Source organism: Homo sapiens, chromosome 17 (genome assembly GCF_000001405.40).
Source record: "Homo sapiens chromosome 17, GRCh38.p14 Primary Assembly".
Classification (NCBI taxonomy): domain Eukaryota; kingdom Metazoa; phylum Chordata; class Mammalia; order Primates; family Hominidae; genus Homo; species Homo sapiens.
This window is the reverse complement of record NC_000017.11, coordinates 36,315,309-36,336,672: the sequence shown is the minus strand read 5'-3', so window position 1 is coordinate 36,336,672 and position 21,364 is coordinate 36,315,309. Positions and strand designations below refer to the sequence as shown.

The 21,364-nt window shown below is 51.9% G+C and overlaps 1 protein-coding gene across 9 annotated transcripts; it reads right to left on the bottom strand.

Annotated features, from left to right (window-relative positions):
- Positions 1-1,913: 1,913 nt before the first annotated feature.
- Positions 1,914-21,276, bottom strand: TBC1D3G (TBC1 domain family member 3G). 9 transcript variants are annotated; one of them, XM_047435086.1, is made up of 16 exons: positions 17,792-21,276; positions 16,613-16,769; positions 16,126-16,186; positions 11,190-11,262; positions 10,942-11,027; positions 9,619-9,841; positions 9,056-9,136; positions 8,505-8,612; positions 8,066-8,175; positions 6,769-6,817; positions 6,105-6,225; positions 5,297-5,391; positions 4,847-4,912; positions 4,284-4,383; positions 3,761-3,913; positions 1,914-2,797 (listed from the first exon to the last, which is right to left on the bottom strand). In XM_047435086.1, the coding sequence occupies exons 4-16, from the start codon at positions 11,259-11,261 to the stop codon at positions 2,229-2,231; spliced, it is 1,833 nt and encodes a 610-aa protein (XP_047291042.1). In that variant the 5' UTR covers position 11,262; positions 16,126-16,186; positions 16,613-16,769; positions 17,792-21,276; the 3' UTR covers positions 1,914-2,228. The 9 variants fall into 9 exon arrangements, with proteins under 9 accessions (XP_047291042.1, XP_005276971.1, XP_047291046.1 ...); XM_005276914.4 differs by having other exon boundaries at positions 12,691-16,186; positions 16,613-16,717; XM_047435090.1 differs by having other exon boundaries at positions 9,619-9,658; positions 12,691-16,186; positions 16,613-16,717.
- Positions 21,277-21,364: the final 88 nt, after the last annotated feature.

Here is a 21,364-nt window from a genome sequence, read left to right as displayed (position 1 = left end):
CTAGACCATCCAGACTTCAGGTCATCCCCCTGTCTGTTGACAGAGTAGTCTCCGTTCCTGAATGTGCTGGTCACCAGCAACAGCAGCTGCTCCTCCTCCAGGAAGCTCAGCCTATACTTCTACATGCAGAGAACCTGGACGGCACCCAGGTGGACCTAAGCCTTCAGCTCCCAGTAGACGCTCTGGGTTTCCTACCCTGCCCAGACACTCTGGGCTTCCCCCCACACCTCCCCTCGGCCGGGGCTCCTGTGTGCATCTGTCTCTCCCAGTGCCCAGCACAGGCGTGGAACGGAAGAGGTGAATGGACCGATTTGAACACATCATCCTGGATTCTCCGTTCCCTCTCAAGCCCTGCAGCTAACCCATCGGCAAGCCCTGGAGGCTCTGCCTCCAAAATCCTGCCTATCCCATGTGCAAACGCCTCTCACCATGTCCACTGCTATTTGCAGTTCTGTGTGTGTGGAAATACTTCCACAAATTTGGAATGAACAGGTCACAGCTGTGCCTGGAGGGAATGGCCAGGGAAATGTGCCCTCGCCTTGCTGTTCTATCCAGGCCCACCCAGCTGAGGATGGGGGACCTGCCACCACTCTCCTGGCAGTTCCGGACTCCTGGGAACCGGCAGGTGAGGACCCAAGAGTGTTTTCAGTGACCCGGCTGACCTGGTCATCCGTCAGTCCCACCTTGGCCTAGGCCTCTATACAGCACAGATCACAGCTCATTCCATCCTGGCATTACACTGGCCTGTGCCCTGTCCTCAGGGTCACATCCGTCTCCCAGAAGCCGTGCAACCCTGGAAAACCCAGGTCTAACAGTCAGGTTCCTCCTCCGTGCATTAACAATGGCGTTGACGCCTGCTTTGCGGCACGCTGGGAGGGGAGAGGGAGGTGTATGCTGGAGAGCTCCCCAGGGGCAAGGCCTGGCTCTGCGTCACCCACTGTCAGATCCTGAGAGCCTGGGGCTGGCCCAGCACGTGGCCACCGTTCCCTAAGAGTTGGATTTCATCCCTCAGTGCTGAAGGCAGGGGATAGAGCTTAGACAGACCCCCTGCGTCCTGTCTTCTTTATCTACAGCTTTCTCATCCTTGCCCCTTTCACGTGCACCCGGCAGAGCAGGTGTTCACTGAGCTTGAGCAAAATTCAAGCTAGAGCAGCTGATGGATCTTGAGGCCTAGATTCACTGTCAAAGTGTTTCTCAAACGGTGCTCTCCAGAACACCAAGGAAAACTCATTGACTGTGTAAGTCTGAAAATCCCTGCCCACCGGTCTACCTTTGTGTATGAGCAATCAGCTCTACCATTCAGCCCAGGTGTGTGTTTGCTGGACCATGTGGAGGAAGCTGAAGAGACGTGAGCTGAAGGCAGAGGGTGAGTCCAAGGTGGGATCTTGGGACAGGTACGAGAAGTTAGGCAAAAATGGGATAATTCTAGCCTTCATAACCTTAGATAATAGTTCACATTATTATTTAGTTAATAGAACTGTACCCACATTAAATTTCTTAAATTTTTTTAAGAGATAAAGTCTCACTCTGTCACCCAGGCTGGAGTGCAGTGGTGCAATCATGGCTCACTGCTTCCTGGAACTCGTGGGCTCCAGCAATCCTCCTGCCTCAGCCTCCTGACTAGGTGGGACTATAGGCACACGCCACCATGCCTGGCTAATTTCTTTGACTTTTCTCTAGAGACCGGGTCCACCTAGGTTTCCCAGGCTGGTCTCAGACTTCTAGACTCAAGTGAACCTGAACCTCCCGCCTCGACCTCTCAAATTGCTGGGATTACAGGTGTGAGCCACCACACCCGGCCTAAATTTCTTATGTGCCATGGGACTGCAAAACATCATTATTAGGGGCAGCTGGATGGAAGGTATAGGAGGATACTATAGTGCCTTTTCAATATTTCTGTCTAAAATCTAAAATCATTTCAACAGGAAACATTTATTTCAAAACATGAAGGTGGTTATCCTTCCATGAGTTTGAAGTACAAAGGCAGGCTCACGGTGTCGTCAGAATTCAGAACGATGGTCGTGGGGCTGGGGGTGCTGGGAGGGGCTGGGCATGGTTGGCTTTGTGATCTGGGGTCTGGTGTGTTCCATCTCTGAATCTCTCTCGAGCTGCACTCTTTCTTAATACATTTTCATAAGTTTAACCAAAAATAAAACGAGGATGCGAAGCTTGCTTGGGTTGTTAAGCCTAGGGAAATTATCCAGCCATGAGCCCTGGCCCAGATGCTTCTAGAAGCCTGGAGGGAACTGAGAACTTTCCAAGTGGAGGCCGCAGAGGCAAGGCCCTGAGGTGGGAGCACACTGCTGTTCGTCCCTAGCTCTGAAGGGGGTGCCCTGGTCGGAATCAGTGCTGGGTGCAGCGAAAGCCGATCTCACCCGCTCCGCAGGGTGTTCAGCCTGCCAGCAGGGGGCCAGCTGGTCCTCCTGGGATATGGCACGGACCCAGCAGCTCTGTCTGAAATCATAATGGCGGAACCAAGGGCCCTCTACGTCCAGGTCCGTTGGGAGGCGGGGCATGGAGTTCCACTGCAGGAATCTCCAGGAACCCTGAGGTCCTCCCTGAGCCAGGGCCGGGCTGGGCACACCCTGAGTGCCCACAGGGTAGGTGTCTTCCCGGACAGCCCCACCAGGACAGGGTGTGGAAGAACGAGGTGCCCGTGGCGGGGAAGCTGACCAAATGGGCCGCGGGAACCGGGCTGGTGGGCCTGGAGGGGCCTGCCTGTCCCCCTTGCAGAGGGTCTTCCCGCCACGTGAAGCCGGCACAGGCCTGGATGCCGACGACCCTTGCTCGGGTTTGGCTGAAAGGAAAACAGACGCGGTCAGCATCTCCAGTGAGCCCACGCAGGCCTTTCCGGGCTGGGCCCCACCTGCCTGCGTCTCTGGAGTCCTCGGGGTCTCTGTGTGGCCCCCGTGGCCTGACACCGAGGACACGCCTGTAGTCTGCTGATCCCAGAGGGAGGGGTGCATGCTGCCTGGCGTGGGGAAGCTGTCGTGGCATGGCGGGTGGCTCCTGGGACTGCCCCCAGGGTTCAGACTGGCTGGGGGCTTCCTGCCACACACCTTCGTCCCAGGGCTGTTGGGCCTGGGATACGGCCCCCAGTCAGAACTCAGGTGGGAGGGGCCTTGGATGTCACCCAGCCCCTTGTCACCTCACGTGGGGACCCGTCTCCGCAGTGGGTGATTGGGCCCGGACGTGGGTCACCCTCTGCCCTCCTGGGCTGCCCAGTCCATGCCAGGACTGACCGTTCCCACTTCTGGCTGAACTCTTGGCTCTGGCTCTGGGCCCTCTCCCTGAATGCTCTGTGGGTCAGGGACACGGATTCCCTTGTCTCCCTGGCTCCAGGCTTCTTGTCCTGGCAACCTTGGAGGAGCGTGCAGGAGTGAGGGGCCTCTGCTGCTCTCTGAGGCTGTGGGTGCTTGCAGGGAGGGGCGGGGTCTCCCACAAATGGGTCTGGGCTCGTCTAGTAACTTGGAGGGCCCTGCGAGGGGGAGAGGGAGACACCGTGGAAAGTGGGAGGGGGCTTGTTGGAGGGTCTTGCCCACATCCCCCTCCTGCATGCACAGCATGTCCAGTATACACGCACTGAGCGCCTGCCCTGAGGACCGGTGGGCCTCCTGTACTTTCTTAGAGTCCAGGAGGAAGAGGAGGAAGAAAAGGTGAAGAGGAAGGCCCAGGTAGTAGGGTTGCGGGTCCCGGGCACTCCCCTACTACTGACTACCCCAGAGGGTGACATGGGAGGGGACATGGCACTGGAGCCCACCTGGGGGTGGCAGGTCCCCCTGCTTTCTTGTTAGTTTCTTCATAGAGGCCCTAAGATGCTTGAGCACAGTGTCCTCATCCCTGGCCCAGGTATCAACGAACCGGTTGCAAAAACGTGCCCACGGGCCACACCTGGACGTCTTCGTGAGGCGCTCTAGGGACAGGGTGGATATCAGGCCAGGGGAGTTACCTGGGAATGGTCACAGCTCATATCCCGTGGCCACTTCAGTCTCCTACTGGGCGGTGCCGGATCCTTTTGTGGCCACCCCAGGTGTCCAGATATACACAGGAGACTGTGGCTGGGGGGCGATCCGGACAGGGAAGTGCTCACCACACTCTCGACTTTCATCTGGGTCATGTGGGGGATGGGCTCAGTGTCACAGTGTCCTGCCCAGCCCACCTGGCCAGACCTCCCTCTGGGCCAGAACAGCGGATCATGAGGACAGTGTGAGGAAGCTGCCCTCGGGCCAGTCGGGGTCTGACCCCAGGGCTCCCCAGGCCCCGCTGGGCACACGTAGACTTACTCTGCTGAACCTTAAAGGCGATTCTTGTTATCGGCATCAACGCCTGTTCGCCTTCTACCAGATACACGTCCCACAGGCGCAGGGTGAGCCCGAGAGAGATCTGTGGGGACAGCAGGTGTGAAAGAACCTGGTCCTTCCAGGCTGGGGCTGGTGGCTCGAGCTGCGCACACTGGGGCTTCAGTCTCCAGAGTCAGTGACCTTCCCCATGAGGGTCGCCTGAGCCCTCCAGGACGCTGGGTCAGACAAGGTCTTGAAGCTCCTCATGGGGGGCACTCATTTGAGTGGGGATGTGGCTCCTGGAGAGAGGGGCTTGCCCAGGGCTTGAGGCTTCCCTGAGCCCTCTCAAGTCGGGTCCTGGCCCAGTCTGCCCATGAGGCTGGGCCTGAGCCCCAGCCATGGCCCTGGGATGACCCCCCTTGGGCAGAGGGTTTTGCTTGTGTGTCCTTTGGGGACCCGCCTGAGCCTCCTGTGGGCTGGGAGTGAGCCAGACCCCCGGGCTGGGGAAGCAGGGCACTGCAGGGCAAGGAAGGTCCCTGAGCCAGGGTCTCCCTATGCCTCCTTACCCCGTCAATCAATATCCGGATGAGGCAGCCTAACGGGGAACACTGCCCACATAGATCTTTCTTGTCCTGATGGAAGCAACAGAGGTGCTCAGGCCACTGGGCTGCCCTAAAAACCTCCCTCTTCCAGGGCCTCTGAAGACCCTTCCCCTAGTGCAGAACACTGGGCGGTGTCCAGAGCTCCCCACAACACTGTCACCTTCCCACACTCCCGGTGGACACACTGCCCTTTGCCCTGCTCTGTGGGAGCTGGGCCCCCATCCCTGTGCCTCTGTCTCCTCCAGGGCAGGAAAGGAAACCAACTCCCAGCCCATGGAGAACCCGACGTCCCAGGTCAGGCCCTGGCTGGGACTCAGCCAGTCACCAGCCCCACGAGGGGCTCCAGCCCCCCTGCTCCTACAGCCCCACGGGAGGCAGGGCCTCTGGGAAGAGCTGAGGGGACCATAAACTCACCTGATGCCCCATGGTCTTGGGTTGTGACGTGGCTACCACATGCTCCTGTTGGTCTTGGAGCCCCTGGACGGTCCCGCCATTTGGGCTGTGAAATCCTGAGAAGCCCCCAGCCCATCATGAAATCAGAGCCTTCCCCCAAGATGTGGAGCCATCAGCTGCAAGAGCTGGGCAGCTGGAGAGGCCCCCAAACCCCAAGGCCTCCCACCCTCCCATCTGGTGACCCCAACATGCGGCCTTTACCCTGGGGAGGTGGGGCGGGAACATTCCCTGGAGCCTGGCTGGAGGTTCCCCTGGAGGCCTCCTGGGCCAGGGTGCAAAAAGGGCAAGCCTGACTTTCAGGCCACGACAGGGTGGCCGGAACTGGGTGGGCGCTGGGCTTCCCGGTCATCTCCTGGTAGTGGGGTCGGGCCAGGGAACAGGGGATGGGGAGATGCTGCCACCTGGGCTTGGTCGGCCCATTCGTGGGCACCGATGGCAGCAGGAGCCCGGGCAGCTGGAGGGCAGGAGGACTCTCAGGGAGGGGAGAGTCAGCTGCACAGAATCAGAGCCGGAGGGCGTGGCTCCAGGACACAGAGGGTGGCCACGGGGAGGATGAGATGCCCTCTGCTGATGGGGATGACAGGCGTCTGATTTGGGCTTTGGGGGTCAGCCGTGGACTCCTGTGGGACCCTCAGCAGAGACATCCTAAAGTCTCCCAACAAGCTGGCGACACAAGGAGGGTGCCTTGGCTGAAAGCTGTGATCACCTGGCCAGGGTGGCCATCCCCAGGTCTGGCTGCAGGAGGTCCCCGGGGCAGCTGTTCACTTACCCTGCAGGGAGTGCCTCTCACTGGCCAGCAGCTGCACCAGTGCCCAGAATGCATCCTCCTCAGGAAGATAGAGGAGGAACAAGGCGGCGATGTGGCTCAGGTCCCTGCAGTAGCCCACCTCCTGCAAGAGCCAGAGTCACCATGGAAGGACATCACCTGGGAGGGCTGAGGTCACCTGGGAGGACTCATGTCATTGGAGAGGGCAGAGGTGACTGGAGAGGCTTCCTCTGAAGGAGAGGCTTCCTCTGAAAAAGAGGCTTCCTCAGGATGCACATTCATTTCATGACAAGAGCCAAGTCCATCAGGCACTTCAGCACCTTGTCCAAAATGTCTGCTGATAGCACCATCCTGTGTGCGATGCTGCCAAGCTCCTGGGCTTTGGGGCAGCCCCAGGAGGAGGGCGTCATTTCTTGTTCTGAGAAGTGGTGGTCAGGCCCAGGTGACACCAGGAGTCCGGGCCCTGACTCCTTTGTGTCTCAGCTTGACCCCTTGAGACCACCCCCTTCCTTGGAGGTTTATGCCAGCGGTGAGCTGACATCCTACCTCCTATATCCTGGTGGGTCACAAATACTAACTTTAAAAGAAGCAACGACACCCCCACCAGACACCCACTCCTGTCAATATGGAAATATGGCCCGGGAACCTCACTGCCGGGAATACTCACCGGGTTATACTCCTCATATGCCAGGAGGATGTGGAGTAGTTCCCGCTGCCTAGGAAACAGAGAAAGGGGGCTTTGGTTTGTTTTGTGCAGATGTTGTTAATTTCACTTTGTCTACAAAGCCTAACAGCAAATCCCATTTCAGGTTCAGATGTTTCACCAGATAAGCAGTGAGCTCTTCAGGGCCTGAGACTCTTGAAGAAATGTTTCAGTAAAATCCACATCTGTGACATGCAAATAGCCCAGTTGTACAGTGACTTGCCTGATCCTTTTCACTCTGAATGATTTTTTTTTTCAGTTTGCACACACGCCAGTTCAGTCTGTGGGTGTACAGTTCCTCCACGGTTCCAAACCGATGTGCAGAGTCTCCCGGCCACCGCTCCAGCCCCTCCTGGGGCGACTCCTTCATCCTCCAAGTCTCCAGGGTGGCCCCTATGCAACCAGCCTCTCCCCGATCCGTCAGCCCCTGGCCACCCAGACTGCTTCTCAGTCCCTGTGGTTTGGCCTTTTCCAGAATGGCCTAGGAATGGGAATCCTACTGTGGTAGCTTATTGGGTCTGGCTTCTGTCCCTCAGCAAAATGCATCTAGGATCCACCCACGTTCGTGCGGGCATCACCGGCTCGTTCCCTTTTCTCACTGGGTCTTCCGTTTGAAGGGAGGACCAGCCTTGCTCTCCCCATCCCCGTGTTGAAGGCCGTCCCCGAAGGCTCCGTGTGTGAGTGACGAGGAGTCAAGCAGTGAACCTGGCATGCTGGTTTCATGTGGATGTCAGTTTGCAAATCAGTGGGTTCAATATCTGTGACACTTTGGGGATGTGTGGTTCAAGTCCATCGAGCTTTGTGAGCCACTGCCCAACTGGCTGCCAACGTGGCTGTGCCATGTCATGTTCCCAGCGGACCTGGATGAGAGTTTCCAGGACCCCTAATTCTCCCAGCATTTGGTGCTGTCACTGTTGCCTGGGGGGGGCTCATGGGCCCTCTATCCTGCCACCCTCCCGTGGGTCCTACCATGGGTCCCCATGGGTCAGGGAGAGCACCCTTCACCATTGTGCATGATTTTGTTTGCTGCCTTCCATCTCCTCAGGATCCTCCTGGGTTCTGGCCCCACATGTTCCAGTCTGGCCCAGGGCTTGGAACCAGGGAGGTGCTCGGTTCATGGTGCCGGCTGCTCCCTGGGCCGGGAGAGCTCTTGGCAGCTGTGTCATCCCTCCTGGGTGACCCTGGCTTCTGCTCCGGGGAAGCCCCCATCCCTCTCATTCACCCCATCTCTGCTGGGACCCTGTGGCTCCCGTAGGCTTACTTGGTTCCGTATCGATCCCTGAAGAACATATGCTTCCTTAATGTCCCGCTTATGTCCCGGTCGATGCGCTGGATGTGCTCAGATGACCTCTTGCCCTTCTCCTTCATGATCTGTAGGGCAGGGCCAAGAGGAGGAAGCAGTCTCAGAACAGATGGAAGACTCCCTGCCCCCAGTGGCAGTCAGCCCACAGTCAGCACTTCGGGAAGGAAGGACAGAAGGAAGGTTTCCTTCTGCAGAAAGCTGCATTTTGGCTTGTTACTGAAGCCAGGGAGGGTCACCAGAGCTGAGTTTGTCTGTGGTGACTGTGTCACCATCTGTGCCCAGGGTGTTCATCTGACCTTCACCCCCAGCTCCCCAGGGTGGTCTTGACGTTCCCTCCAGCTGGAGACCTGGGCCCCGACACGGCCTGTCCTGTTTGTTGTGCTCTGGCTGAGCGTACCTGGTATCTTCCGGGGTTTTTCAACTTCATTTCCTCAATGTTCAGGAGGACTGACCACATCGGGCCCCGGATGTTCATGGGCATTCCCTTGTACGCTCGATCTATGAGCTGTGGGCAGAAAACGATCTGGTGTCACAGGCCACGGGGTGACCCCAGTGAGGACCAGAGCCCGGGGATTCTGGAAATTGTCGGTTTTGGCCCCATGATTCCTCAGTAGAGGTGAGATCAAGCTGGGACAGGGTCTCCCTTCCCAGGACTGAAAGAGTGGATGGACACTCAGAGTCGAAACTCTGATCTGAACCTTTTCCTTCCTTCAGGTCCCCAGGGCATCCCTAGCCTTGAGCTCCGGGTAGTCCCAGCCCTAGATTCAGATTCCCTCCCTGCAAGGTGACGCTTGCACGAATAGGCAGGAAATCTGGCGACCAGGCCTGCAGTCCTCTGGGCGAGGACAGTGTGCCGCCCACCCTCTGAGAGGCTGATGGTGCCAGGCCACAGCCATGGGTGCCTGTCCCCTGTCTCTGCAGAGAGTGCTTCCTCCCTCCACACGTTACCTTTCTGCTGCTTTTGTATTTCTCCCAGTCTCCCAGCATATCCACCCACTTGCTCTTTCGGCTGATCTCCCGCCGAATTTGCTGTCAAATGAGGCATGTTGGAGTTAGCGGAGCTGCCAGGCTTCCCAGAGCCGCCCGCAGATGCTGGGTCTTGGGCTCTGGAGCCCTGGTGGGAGCCAGCTGGAAGGAGCCAGGGAAGGGCAGACCTCAAGGGCTGAGAGCCTTTGAGCAAATGAGCACCAGTGGGCTGGCTTTGGGACCCCGGGATGTACCATCCTCAGGCCACAGACACACCAGTCTTAGGTCCCAGCCTCTAGGTGGGGTCCTGACACAAGCGCGCAGCCACCCCCAAGCCAGGACTGTGGTTCTCCTTTTGGAATTTTATCAAACTGCCAAAGTGAACAGCAACCTGGGGTCAGGTCCAGCAGGGACTGCTGCCCCTCCCAGTGACAGCGTGTTGCCCTCACCCGCCACCGCTCAGGCCAGCTGCTTCCTCTGCCTCACTGACCACCCGCCCAGTCCCTACGTCCCTGGACCAGCCCCTCCACGCATCAGGCTCTTACCTTCGCCTCCCGCGCAGTCAGAGGAGGCAGCTCCGTCTCACTGTAAGGCAACCCAGGCAGAGCTGAGGAACTGCACGGGGCCTGGAGCGGCCCCAGCCTGGGTGCCGACCCCCAGAAAGGACTGGCTCTGTCCCTTTCCAGCTCAGGGCTCAGCCCAGGAGAAGGCACAGGGAAGGGAGGACAAGGGCCTTCCTGTGGGGCTGACTCCCAGGAGGGGCAGGACCTGGGAGAAGAAGGAGTGTAGGGACAGCCTGGCCGGGGTTACTGGGGCCCCTGGCGTGGGGGGCGGTCAGGCTGCCCAATGGGGCTGCCCGTCCTGGACTCGAGGTGGTGCTTTCTGCTGGAGCTGAGAAAGGTTAGCCCTGAGATGGGATGGGGGCCGCCCAGGGTGGGCGACCGGGCCCTGACAGGAGTCCCTCAGGGAGTGACCACATCCCCCCGCCAGGGTCAAGGGAGCCTGCCCTGAGACCTGCCCGGTGTACTCTGGCTGCACCAGGGGCCCACCCCACTTGACAGCCCCAAGGCCCTTGCAGGTTCTGACCTCCCAGCATCCACCTGCCTCTCCCTGCACCCGAGCCACACACCCTGCGTTTCAGAAGTGGCACCGCTCGTCAGCTCCCTCCCGCCCTACCTCCCCAGGGATCCTCTGTCTCTCCATCCTGTGATCCCTGAGGGATGGGCTCCTGGCTGGGCTCCTCTTACCTGGCCCCAGATCCCTTCCCAGCACCAGACCCAGGTCTTTAGCCGCGAGCCCTGCTGCCTCCCTGGCCTCACCGTGAGATGCCCAGAACGGGGCCCTGCCCATCTTCTCCCCCGTTCTCCTAGGGCTACAGCCCCCATTGTCACCATGCCTTTTCCCCTCACGGGACAGTGAGGGCTGTAGCTCTAGGGGAATGGGGGAGAACAGGGGCAGGTGGGCCCTCAGAGACCTGCTGGACAACAGCCCTGAGGCTGGGCCAGGCGTCCCCTCACCCTGTGGCCATAACCCTTGCATCTCACCGGGGTTGTCTCCAAGTAGACAGGGCCAGACCCTCAGGCTGCCCCGCTCCTCTTGTGCTCACTTGCCGACAGAACTGCTGAGCGCCCAGGGGCCTGACCTAGCCCAGTCTCCATTCCCACCGGCTCCCTAGATGGGCCCCACACCTCTGGCCTAACAACCTCGGGCTGGACCTGCAGGGGAGTCAGGGAGGAGTTCTGTCCCTGGAAAGGAGGTTGACCCGACCTGGTGAGACATGTCCTGCGTCAGAAAGGCCTTTCTAAAAGCAAACCCATCCCTGAGCTGAGACAGGTGCTTTAGGGGTGAGGGGAGTGCAGAGGACTCACTGTACAATCCCCAAATGATCGACGTTGTTGTTGTAGCTTCGAAAAGGCTTAGGCCCCTTGTCCTCTGGCAGCCCAGCTCGGTGTCCCTGTAGCCCAGAGGGAGCCTTGGTGAGGGGTCCAAGGTAAAGGGTGCAAGGGCCTGGGGGCATTGGCCACCCGTCCCTGCCCTGTGCTCCTAGGGAGCCCAGGACCCTTTGACCAGGGCACACTGGAAGAGGCCTCCCTCCAAGAAGCAGACCGACTTGTACCTTTTCGTATTTCATAATGATGTCCTCTCGCTCTTGTGCCCACCAACTGCCCGCGACCTCTACCACGTCCATCCTGTGAGACAGAATTGTCTAAAGGTCACACTGTACGCGGCGGCTTCGGAGAACACCTGAACCGCTCTCGCCGGGCTCCCAGATGCTGGCTGGCTGCGTAACCCCCATTCCACCGCCGCCCCCAGGGAAAAAGGGGCCAGACCCAGTGGCCCACAGCTGCTCCAGTCTCTGGAGTCTCAAGTCCCAAGCAGGGGTGGGCATCTTCCCAAGGACTTGAGTACAGTGGGACCTAGACAGAGAATCCTGTTGTCCCCCAATGCCATGAAATGGGGACACACCGGCCCCAGCAGGTTGAATGGTTTCCACCTGCCAAGGGTGAAGGGCCCATGATGGGCTATTCCAGGGATGTGGAGGCAGACTGGGGTCAGCGACCAGAGGTCTCTGTGCAATCGGCCTCCTGGGATGCTCAGGGCCTCAGCGATGCCCAGTTTCCTACAGGGAACAAGATCTCTCCCGACTGCTCGGTTCTACTCCGCTCATCACTTTGGCTACCGTGGCTCTTCAGTCTGAACAGTGAAGCCACTTTAGGAATAACGCCTGTTGAGCAGGAGGGTGTTGGGTTTGGGGGATGAGGAAGATCTATTGTACGCATGGAAACCACGTCTCTCGCGGAGGGACTGTGGAGTCCACCATTCTGAGCCGTCCCAACAGGAGGAGGCTTCATTTTCCTGGGTCACTGAGGAAGAACAGTGGGTCCTTGGTCCTGGAGAACAGCTGGATGGACCGTCCCTCCTGGGAATACTCGAGGCAAAAGGAGGGCGAGGCCTCAAGAGGACCACGCAGAGCAAGAAATACCTGGGGAGAACCCTAGTGCCCGGACCCCTTTGAACACAAGGGAAGATAGTCTCCCCTCAGCCAGCCCTCCAGGGCTCCTTCATTTTCCACAGCTGCCCAAGGGCAGCAGGCTCCCCCGGACAAGGGACCATGTGTGTTCAGTGGGGCCCACAGCGACCATCAGGACCCAGCTTAGGGCACAGAGGTGTTCTGAGGACCGTCAGTGGATCTGTACCAGTGGCTCTATACCAGTGGCTCTGCCAGGACCAGGCTCTGCCCCATCGGGATGGGAAACCTGGGCAGATTTGGGATCTAGGGCAGGGAGGTCACAGGGTTCAGGCCTGAATTCCAGCACAGCACACGGCAGGGCTGAGAGCAAAACTCAGGGTCATGTCCGGATTCCCAGGCCGGTTACTGCCTCTCTGACCCCAGACGTCTCATCTGTCGAATGGGGACATTTGGGAACAGCACCCACTCTACGAAGCCACCATGGAGACGAAAGAGCCAATCGTCTACACGGGCAGTGTAGAACGGGCGCCTGGTGAGTGCTCAGGGATGACCCTCCTCGGTAGCTGCCCCACAGAGGCCAACACCGCCCGCACCGTAGCCACTGCCCCCAAGTCCGCCTGGAGGGAAGAGAGCAGGTCACGCTCACCTGATTCTGATGAATCAGCTGGCCTGGGTCATGCCTCTCAGGGAGAAAACCTTTGAGTCCACAGAGCTGCTCACAGATACCACTGCCTGTGTGTAACTGCTGTAGACCACTGAGGCAGACCAGAGAGCAGATAGGTGCTAAGCACCAGTGACATTCTGAGGTCATGGCACGAATCACAGTGGGGCCTTGCCCGGGTCAGCAGCACCCAGAGTCAGGGTCCTCCGCTGCCTGAGGCGTCAACATGCCTGCCTGCAATGTGTTTGTGCACGTGCGTGCACATGTGTATGTGGGTAAACACATCTGTGCACGTGTGTGCTGCTTCTCTGGCCAGGCCCGGCTGCCCCACTCATGTGTGCACCCAGTTCCTCATCACTGTCACCCCCGAGGCCCAGGGCCAGCATCAGAGCATCCATGGCTGCTCCCTAACCTCAGCCCTCCCTGCCCAGGGTGGTCCTGGGATACACATAGCGGTGGAGGGAAGTGACTGCTGCTGTTGGATCTCAGAATACAAAAGCTAGTACTATTACCTAATGGTCTTTTTAGTGTCTCTAATGGTATCGCTTTTTCATTTCTGATATTTTAACTGGGTATTTCTCTCCATGACCCTTGGATATTCTAGCTAGAGGATCCTGTGGGGAAAGTGCCGGGCACACAGTAGGGGCTCACTCTTCTAGACATGTTATCTAAAACCTGGTTCATCTGTCCTTCCACACAGGGCCTAGGGGATGCCAAATTCCAGGGGCCAGAAAGAGCTTGGGATAAAAAGAAACTTCAAGGGGACGGCTTTGACCTGGGCTGAGTCTGCCTGTGCCATCCAACTGGAGTCTCAAGTCCTGAGGCAGGACGTCCAGATGCCCCAGTGCAGGGTCCTCCTGATCAACACCTGCTCCCCTGTACTCATTAGCAACCTCACCCACCCTACTCTCAAAGCACACTTGGCTCTCGTATCCAGGAGCTCTGCATCTGTAGATTCAGCAACAGCAGATGGAAAATATTCAGAAAATAAATTGGACGGTTATGTTTCTATTGAACATGTGCAGAGTTTGTTCTTGTCATTATTCCCTAAAGAATCCAGTATCACGACCATTTATGTAGCATCTGCATTGTATTACACATCATGAATAATCCAGAGATGGTCTAATGTCTACGGGAGGATGTGCATAGCTGATATGTAAATACTAGGCCATGTTATGTCAGAGACTTGAGGATCCATGGATTTTGGCATCCCCGGGGACCCTAGAACTAATCCATGGATACCAAGGGATGACTGTATAAACTCACTCAGGAAGGCTTCTCATTGGAGGAAGGTCCCAGTTCAGGACACACAGGGACATCTCCCTGGACTACTGTCCATTCATCCATCCATTCATCCATTGTCTCCCCCCACCCCCCCATCTCGGACTGTCCCAGTGACAGCCCTAGCAAGAAGAGACAAGAAACAAGTTCACGTTGTCCAGTTTTGAGGTAATGGAAGAAGTTGCACCAGTATGAGAATAGTGGGTCAGTTTTCTACAGGATGCAGAAAGCATATCGGGCAGCCTCGGGGTGCGGAAAGGAGCCTGGCCTCTCTAGCAGCCACACAGGCCTGCAGTAGGATGGGGCTGTGGCTGGCCATGTGGATCACTTGGGCCTCATGAGGGGAAAGGAAATACCAGGGGGGCAGAAGAGGAGCATGGGGGCAGCTGGTTGCCTAAGGAGAAGGCACCTCAGGGAAGGGGACTGTATTCATTTGTTTTCACACTGATGTAAAGAAATACCTGAGATTGGGTAATTTATAAAGGAAACAGGCTTAATTGACTTGCAGTTCCGGAAACTTACAATCATGGCAGAAGGGGAAGGGGAAGCAGGCACCTTCTTCACAAGACGGCAGGAGGGAGTGAGTGGAGAACCAGTAAGTGCCACACTTTGAAACTATGATCCTCCTACCTCAGCCTCCCAAGTAGCTGGGACTACAGGCACATGCCACCACACCCAGCTAATTTTTGTACTTTTTATAGAGACGAGGTATTGGCATGGTGCCCAGGCTGGTATCAAACTCCTGGACTCAAGCAGTCCACCTGCCCCAGCCTCCCAAAGTGCTCGGATTATAGGCATATCAGCCAGCTGATGGAGCATCTTTAATATCATATTTTTACTGTAACTTTTCTATATTGAGAAATGTTCAGGTATACAAATACTATTGTGTTATAATTGCCTATGGTATTCAGTACAGTAACATGCTGTACAGGTATTTTGTAGCCTAGGAGCAACAGGGTATATACCATGTAGGCTAGGTGTATATAGCCTAGGACATACTGTGTAGGTTTCTGTAAGTACATTCTATGATGTTCACATATTGATGAAATTGCCTGACAACATATTTCTCAGAACATATCCCTGTTGTTAAGCAACACATGACTATTCCCTTGATTTTTTATTTTTTCAGAGACAGGATCTTGTTCTGTTGCCCAGGCTGGAGTGCAGTGGTGCCACGATTGCTCACTGTAACCTCAAACTCCTGGGCTCAAGTGACCCTTCCCACTTCAGCCTCCTGAGTAGCTGGGACTACAGGCACATACCACCACACCCGGCTAATATTTTTGTATTTTTTGTAGAGGTGGGGTCTCGCTATGTTGCAAGCTGGTCTTGAACTCCTGGGCTCAATCAGTCCTCACATCCTGGCCTCCCAAAGTGCTAGGATTACAGGCGTGAGCCACCACACCCGGCCCAGACTCTTTAAGTTGGCAAAATATTCAGTTATGGAAAGCAGAATGCTGGAGGATGACCAAAGGGATAATGAGTCCTGATTCATGTTGACCCTATGACTTACTGCAGGTTGAGTGTCCCTTATCCAAAATGCTTGGGACCAGAAATGTTTTGAATTTCATATTTCTTTTGGATTTTGGAATATTTGCATTATACTTACTAGCTGAGCATCTATAATTGCAATATCCAAAATCTAAAATGTTCCAATGAGCATTTCCTTTGAGCATCACGTTGGCACTCAAAAAGTTTCAGATTTTGGGTGGGAATTGAACAATGAGAACACTTGAACACAGGGCGGGGAACATCAGACACCAGGGCCTGTCATGGGGTAGGGGGCTGGGGGAGGGATAGCATTAGGAGAAATACCTAATGTAAATGACGAGTTAATGGGTGCAGCAAACCAACATGGCACATGTATACTGATGTAACAAACCTGCACATTGTGCACATGCACCCTAGAACTTTAATTAAAAAAAAAGAAAGAAAGAAAAGAAAAAGTTTCAGATTCTGGAGCATTTCAAATTTCAGATTAGAGATATTCAACCTGAACACAGCTTCAAATAAGGCTAATTTATTTATTACATGGATCCTGACCTTGAGTTAAGTATTCAGAACAAAAATAAAATGTCCCAGCCTGGATAGAGTGACAATACTTTCTCTCCATTTCTATCTCAAGCTATTAAAGATTACCTGCGGCAGCATTCTTTTGTTGGAACTTGGTTAAATACATGTTCATTCCTTTCTTAAAGTCCTGAGAAAACACAATTTTTAAAATCCAGGGAAGTCAGATCTCAGAATTTATAGTATATTTGTATATTAGTAATCAAAAACAAATTTACTCAAATACTCAAGTATCAGATACACTGAAACACATATATCCTTCTGATGCCTACTGCCTTTTATTTAATAATGCGTACTCTATGCCTTCTATTCTTGCTCTTAAGTTTTATAACAGCCTCCCATTTCCACTCCCAAACACACCTGCACATCACTCATCTAAGAGACCACAGTAGTCAACTTCAAATAATTGAATTCTCATTCTTTTTGGTCATTAAAAAAAATGACAAGCCAGAAACTATTTGGGAACTTAATCCAAATAAAGTGAGACTTTTTTTCATGCAAAACTCTTATGATTTCACCATGAAAGAATGAAATACTTAAAGTTTTTTTTTTTTACCTTATCCCCAATGTAGTCATGCAGCATTCGGATGACAGATGCACCTTTGCTATATGATATAGCATCACATATCTCATCAACCTCAGATGGATGGCCCACACTGACCTGGCAGACAGTGTGATTCAGGGTTATGACAGGAAGCAGATAGCCTGTAATACTGAATTACATAAAACGCTTTCTAGGAAAACCCTTCTAACTTACATTTTTCTGCCTTTAACTCACTCATAATGTATAACGATGGTCCTCAAAAAAATGTAGTAACTAATAATAATAAAGTTGAATAGAACATGATTCCTGTCATCCCTTAGAGCTTGGGTTCCAGTCCTGGCTTTGTTCTGCTGGGAAAGAAGCCACTATGGTTCTGTTTATTTTTGGGGTAGTTGCAGAGGAGTGATGAGGAAGACATGGAGGTGAAGAACATTAGATTTCTTGCACTAATTGTAATGAATTACAATTATATGGGAGCCTAATTAAATATGTTGAAGTAGGATTATAACTCTAGTTCTTTAGATACAAAATTTATATATATAAACTGAAGTAGGGATAGGCTAAGTCAAGAGAATTAAAGTATTCACAAAACAGACCCTGACAATAAAATATGTCCAGAATTTTCCTTGACATAAACAATGGAACCATAGTGTTACCCAATAGGTATGACTTCTCCCATACTACTCTTTTTCTTTTTTTTGGCAGAGTTTTTTGCTCTTGTTGCCCAGGCTGGAGTGCAATGGCACGATCTCGGCTCACCGCAACCTCTGCCTCCCAGGTTCAAGTGATTCTCCTGCCTCAGCCTCCCGAGTAGCTGGGATTACAGGCATGCGCCACCGTGCCCAGCTAATTTTGTATTTTTAGTAAAGACGGGGTTTCTCCATGTTGGTCAGGCTGGTCTCAAACTCCCGACCTCAGGTGATCCACCCGCCTCAGCCTCCCAAAATGCTAGGATTACAGGCGTAAGCCACTGCGCCTGGCCAGACCAATTTTTTTTTACTGCCTACCTTTAAAAGAAATGTTTAATTAGAACTTAGACTTACTAGCTTTTCAAGACTAGAAATATGAACCAGTAAAATCACCCATGCTATTTTCTCTTCTTTTCAAAGTCCAAAGTATCTATGTAACAAATTACGTATTTCATTGTAAATGAGAGCAGTCATAGGCTAATGGTTAGAAAGTATGGCTCACTTCAATAGGATGGCTGTTATCTAAGGCGTCAAGCTCCTGGGCACGGGTGTAATCAGCAGAAACAAACTGAGTCCAAATATCATACTCTGGGAAGCAGTGGTCTACACACAGATATTCAATCCAGGATGCAAAACCTTCATTTAACCAAAGATGAGTCCACTATTCCTAAAAACAGAAGATGAAAATACTTAAAGAAATTGAAATGATTGTCATTCTACTAATCTAAAACACTCACATGTCCCTTCCACTATATTCCAAAACTCACAATTTAATGACCTAAAATTCAGTTCAAAACATTTCGCAAAGAACTCACATTTCTGAAAAAGAGAGAAGACTAAAAGAGATGTCAAGAAAGGCCAACTGGTGATATTAGAATTATATCTGAGGGTCATTTTCTTTTCCTTTCTTTTTTTTTTTTTTTTTTTTTTTTTTTTTTTTTTTTTTTTGAGACAAAGTCTTGTTTTGTCACCAGGCTGGAGTGTTCACCAGTAGCTGGGATTACAGGCATGTATCACTATGCCTGGCTAATTTTTGTATTTTTAGTAGAGATGGGGTTTTGCCATGTTGGCCAGGCTGGTCTCAAACTTCTGACCTCAAGTGATCCACCTGCCTCGGCCTCCCAAAGTGCTGGGATTACAGGTGTGAGCCACCATGCCTGGGCCAAAGGATATTTTCAAAACATTGTAAATAACTTCTCCCCCAAACCCAGACAGGGTCTCATTCTGTTGCCCAGGCTGGAGTGGCAGGGGCACCATCGTAGCTCACTGCAGCCTTGAACACCGGGGCTCAAGCAATCCTCCCGCCTCAGCCTGCCAAAGTGCTGGGATTACACACGTAAGCCAGTGCACTCAGTCCTAAGTAACTTTTTAAATACCAAAGGTAGAAAAGGAAGAAGAGGGAAAAAAAAAAATAAGCCCATATATGGAAAAGGAAAAGACAGCAGATAAATATAGGCAAATAGAGGTGGAAAATATAATCACGTAGAATTTAGTATAGTAAAGGATTATCTCTGAAAAACAAAAACAGAAAACTATCAGAGCCAAATAAAGAAAAATGGAAATGACTGGGGAAAACCACTCACTAATGAGTTGAATGTTCAAGAGAAACTGAGAAAGAGTACTGCTTATATAAAAATTATGTGAAATTAAACAAAAATGTAGTTTAGTAATGAATGGTGTTTAAGCACTTATGGAATATAAAATTATCACCTGTTAAATAAGAATGCATAGTAAATGGAATGGACAAAGAATATGAGTGACAGATAAAATCAGTTTTTAAAAAATTTTAAAGATCTTAATCTAAATTTTATTAAAGTTGATTAAGCCTATTAGTGAAAGAAAGCAGGCCAGGCACAATGGCTTGCTCCTGTAATGCCAATACTCTGGGAGGTCAAGGCAGGAAGATCACTTGAGCCCAGGAGTTTGAGATAAGCCTGGGTAACACAGTGAGACTCCATCTCTAAAAAAATTAAAAAGTAAAAAAAAATTAGCTGGTCATGGTGACACACACCTGTGGTCCCAGCTACTTGGGAGGCTGAGGCAAGAGGATTACATAAGCCCAGGAAGATGAAGCTGCACTGACCCATGATTGTGCCACTGCACTCCGGCTTGGGTAACAAAGTGAGATCCTATTCTCCATCCCCAACCAGTCCCCCCAGAAAAGGCCAGGTGTGGTAGCTCATGCCTGTAATCCCAGCACTTTGGGAGGCTGAGGTGGGAGGATTGCTTGAGCCCAGGAGTTTGAGACCAGTTTAGGCAACAAAGTGAAACCCTGTCTCTACAAAAGGCAATACAGTGAAACCTTGTCTCTACAAAAAGTGCAAAAATAAGCTGGGCATGGTGCCACACACCTGTAATTGCAGCTACTCAGGAGGCAGAGACAGGAGGATTGCTTGAGCCCAGAGGTCAAGACTGTAATGAACCATGATTGTGCCATTGCACTCCAGTTTAACTGACAGAGTGAGACTCTGTCTTAAAAAAAAAATTATTTTGATATTAAGTGATAAGTGGCTATTTGCCTAGTAGCTTCCTAAAATAAACTAGCATAAAATGAAACTTATTTTCCAACCTATCCCTAAGCCCTTGGAATTTCAGTTCTAATAACTAGAATAGTTACATAAAACCAGTAAAAAGTTGTTTAATAAGAATGTACACATTTCCCCTACTAAAATTTATTGCTTGTAGTTTCAAAATAAAATCATAAAGTTATCTCAAAGCCAAGCAAAAAAATTATTTGGTACAAAGTAGCAAACTCGCTGCATTAGAAGAAAAGGCCATTTCTTCACATATTTGAATACAGGCACCAACACATAGTTCCACATGAAATTATATTTCTTTTTTTTTTTTTTTTTGAGATGGAGTTTCGCTCTTGTTGCCCAGGCTGGAGTGCAGTGGCGTGATCTCGGCTCACTGCAACCTCTGCCTCCCAGGTTCAAGCGATTCTTCTGCCTCAACCTCCAGAGTAGCTAGGATTACAGGTGCATACCACCACGCCCAGCTAATTTTCTATTTTTTTTTTAGTGGAGATGGAGTTTCGCAACATTGGTCAGGGTGGTCTCAAACACGTGACCTCAAGTGATCCACCCGCCTCGGCCTCCCAAAGTGCTGGGATTACTGGCGTGAGCTACCGTGCCCGGCCTGAAATTATATTTCAAAGAATTTTTTTCACCTGTAAAATTTTAAACATCCAAAATAAAAGGAAAAGATTTATTTTCAAGGGTTGACTTTCTGTAGAAACTCTCTGAGACACGTAACAGTTGATAAATGTCTTACATTCTTATTTATATAACGTATGGACTCAATCTACATTCAAATCAGGTTCTGCTCTTTGGCAGCCTAAAATGTCAGGGAATCTAGCTGGCTCCAGAATATCCAGTTATTTAATTGCAGAGGTACATCTAGTTCACTTATTAAATCCTGTGCTCCCAAGCTCTAACACAGTTGGCATTCATAAATAGTATTTACTTAGAGTAAGAGTGAAAAATCAGGACTGAAGGACAGAGATCATTACTGCAAACATTATAAGGATTTCAACAGAACAGCTGGAATTTTAATACAGCTTTATTCTGCAGTCACTCTGCAGTTTGTTTACTTTTATTTCATTAAATTTCAACTTAACATTTTAGGCAATGAAAAAACTGACTCCTAAAAACATTTCTCTCTAATTAAAGATCAGTCTGTTATTCATCAGGTTACTTTTCAGCTGTGAGTCAGATTAACAAATAAGATTCAAGAAACTACAGTTAGCCTGGAATCTCACTGCATGATTCATTCATCTACACCTAAGAGGAATCTTTTCCTCTCACCCAAATTAGTATCTTGACTTTTCCCATTTGCAGACAAATTTTAGAACAGTTTAGGAAGTGTCTGTTGAATAAAGACTGTCCATATGCCCTTGTTCAATGCAGAGATTCTGATAAGCCCTTTCAAAGTGGACCTTTTAAAATAATACTTTTCTATCACTCAATTATTTTTTGGCACAGTGTTGCAGCCAAACTTGAAATACTATGTAGCCAAAATAATGTGGAGTAGGATGAAGATAAATATATTTGAGCACTTAAAAATATTAAATACC

Bases quoted from the DNA above. Each gene is read 5' to 3' on its own strand.
- TBC1D3G (XM_047435086.1), bottom strand. From the start codon at position 11,261: ATGGACGTGGTAGAGGTCGCGGGCAGTTGGTGGGCACAAGAGCGAGAG. The intron at 4,913-5,296 runs GTGAGTTTATGG...TGCTTCCATCAG, and splicing joins CCAAGACCATGGGGCATCAG to GACAAGAAAGATCTATGTGG. The intron at 2,798-3,760 runs GTGGGCTCCAGT...TTTTCCTTTCAG, and splicing joins GGGGGACCTGCCACCCCCAG to CCAAACCCGAGCAAGGGTCG.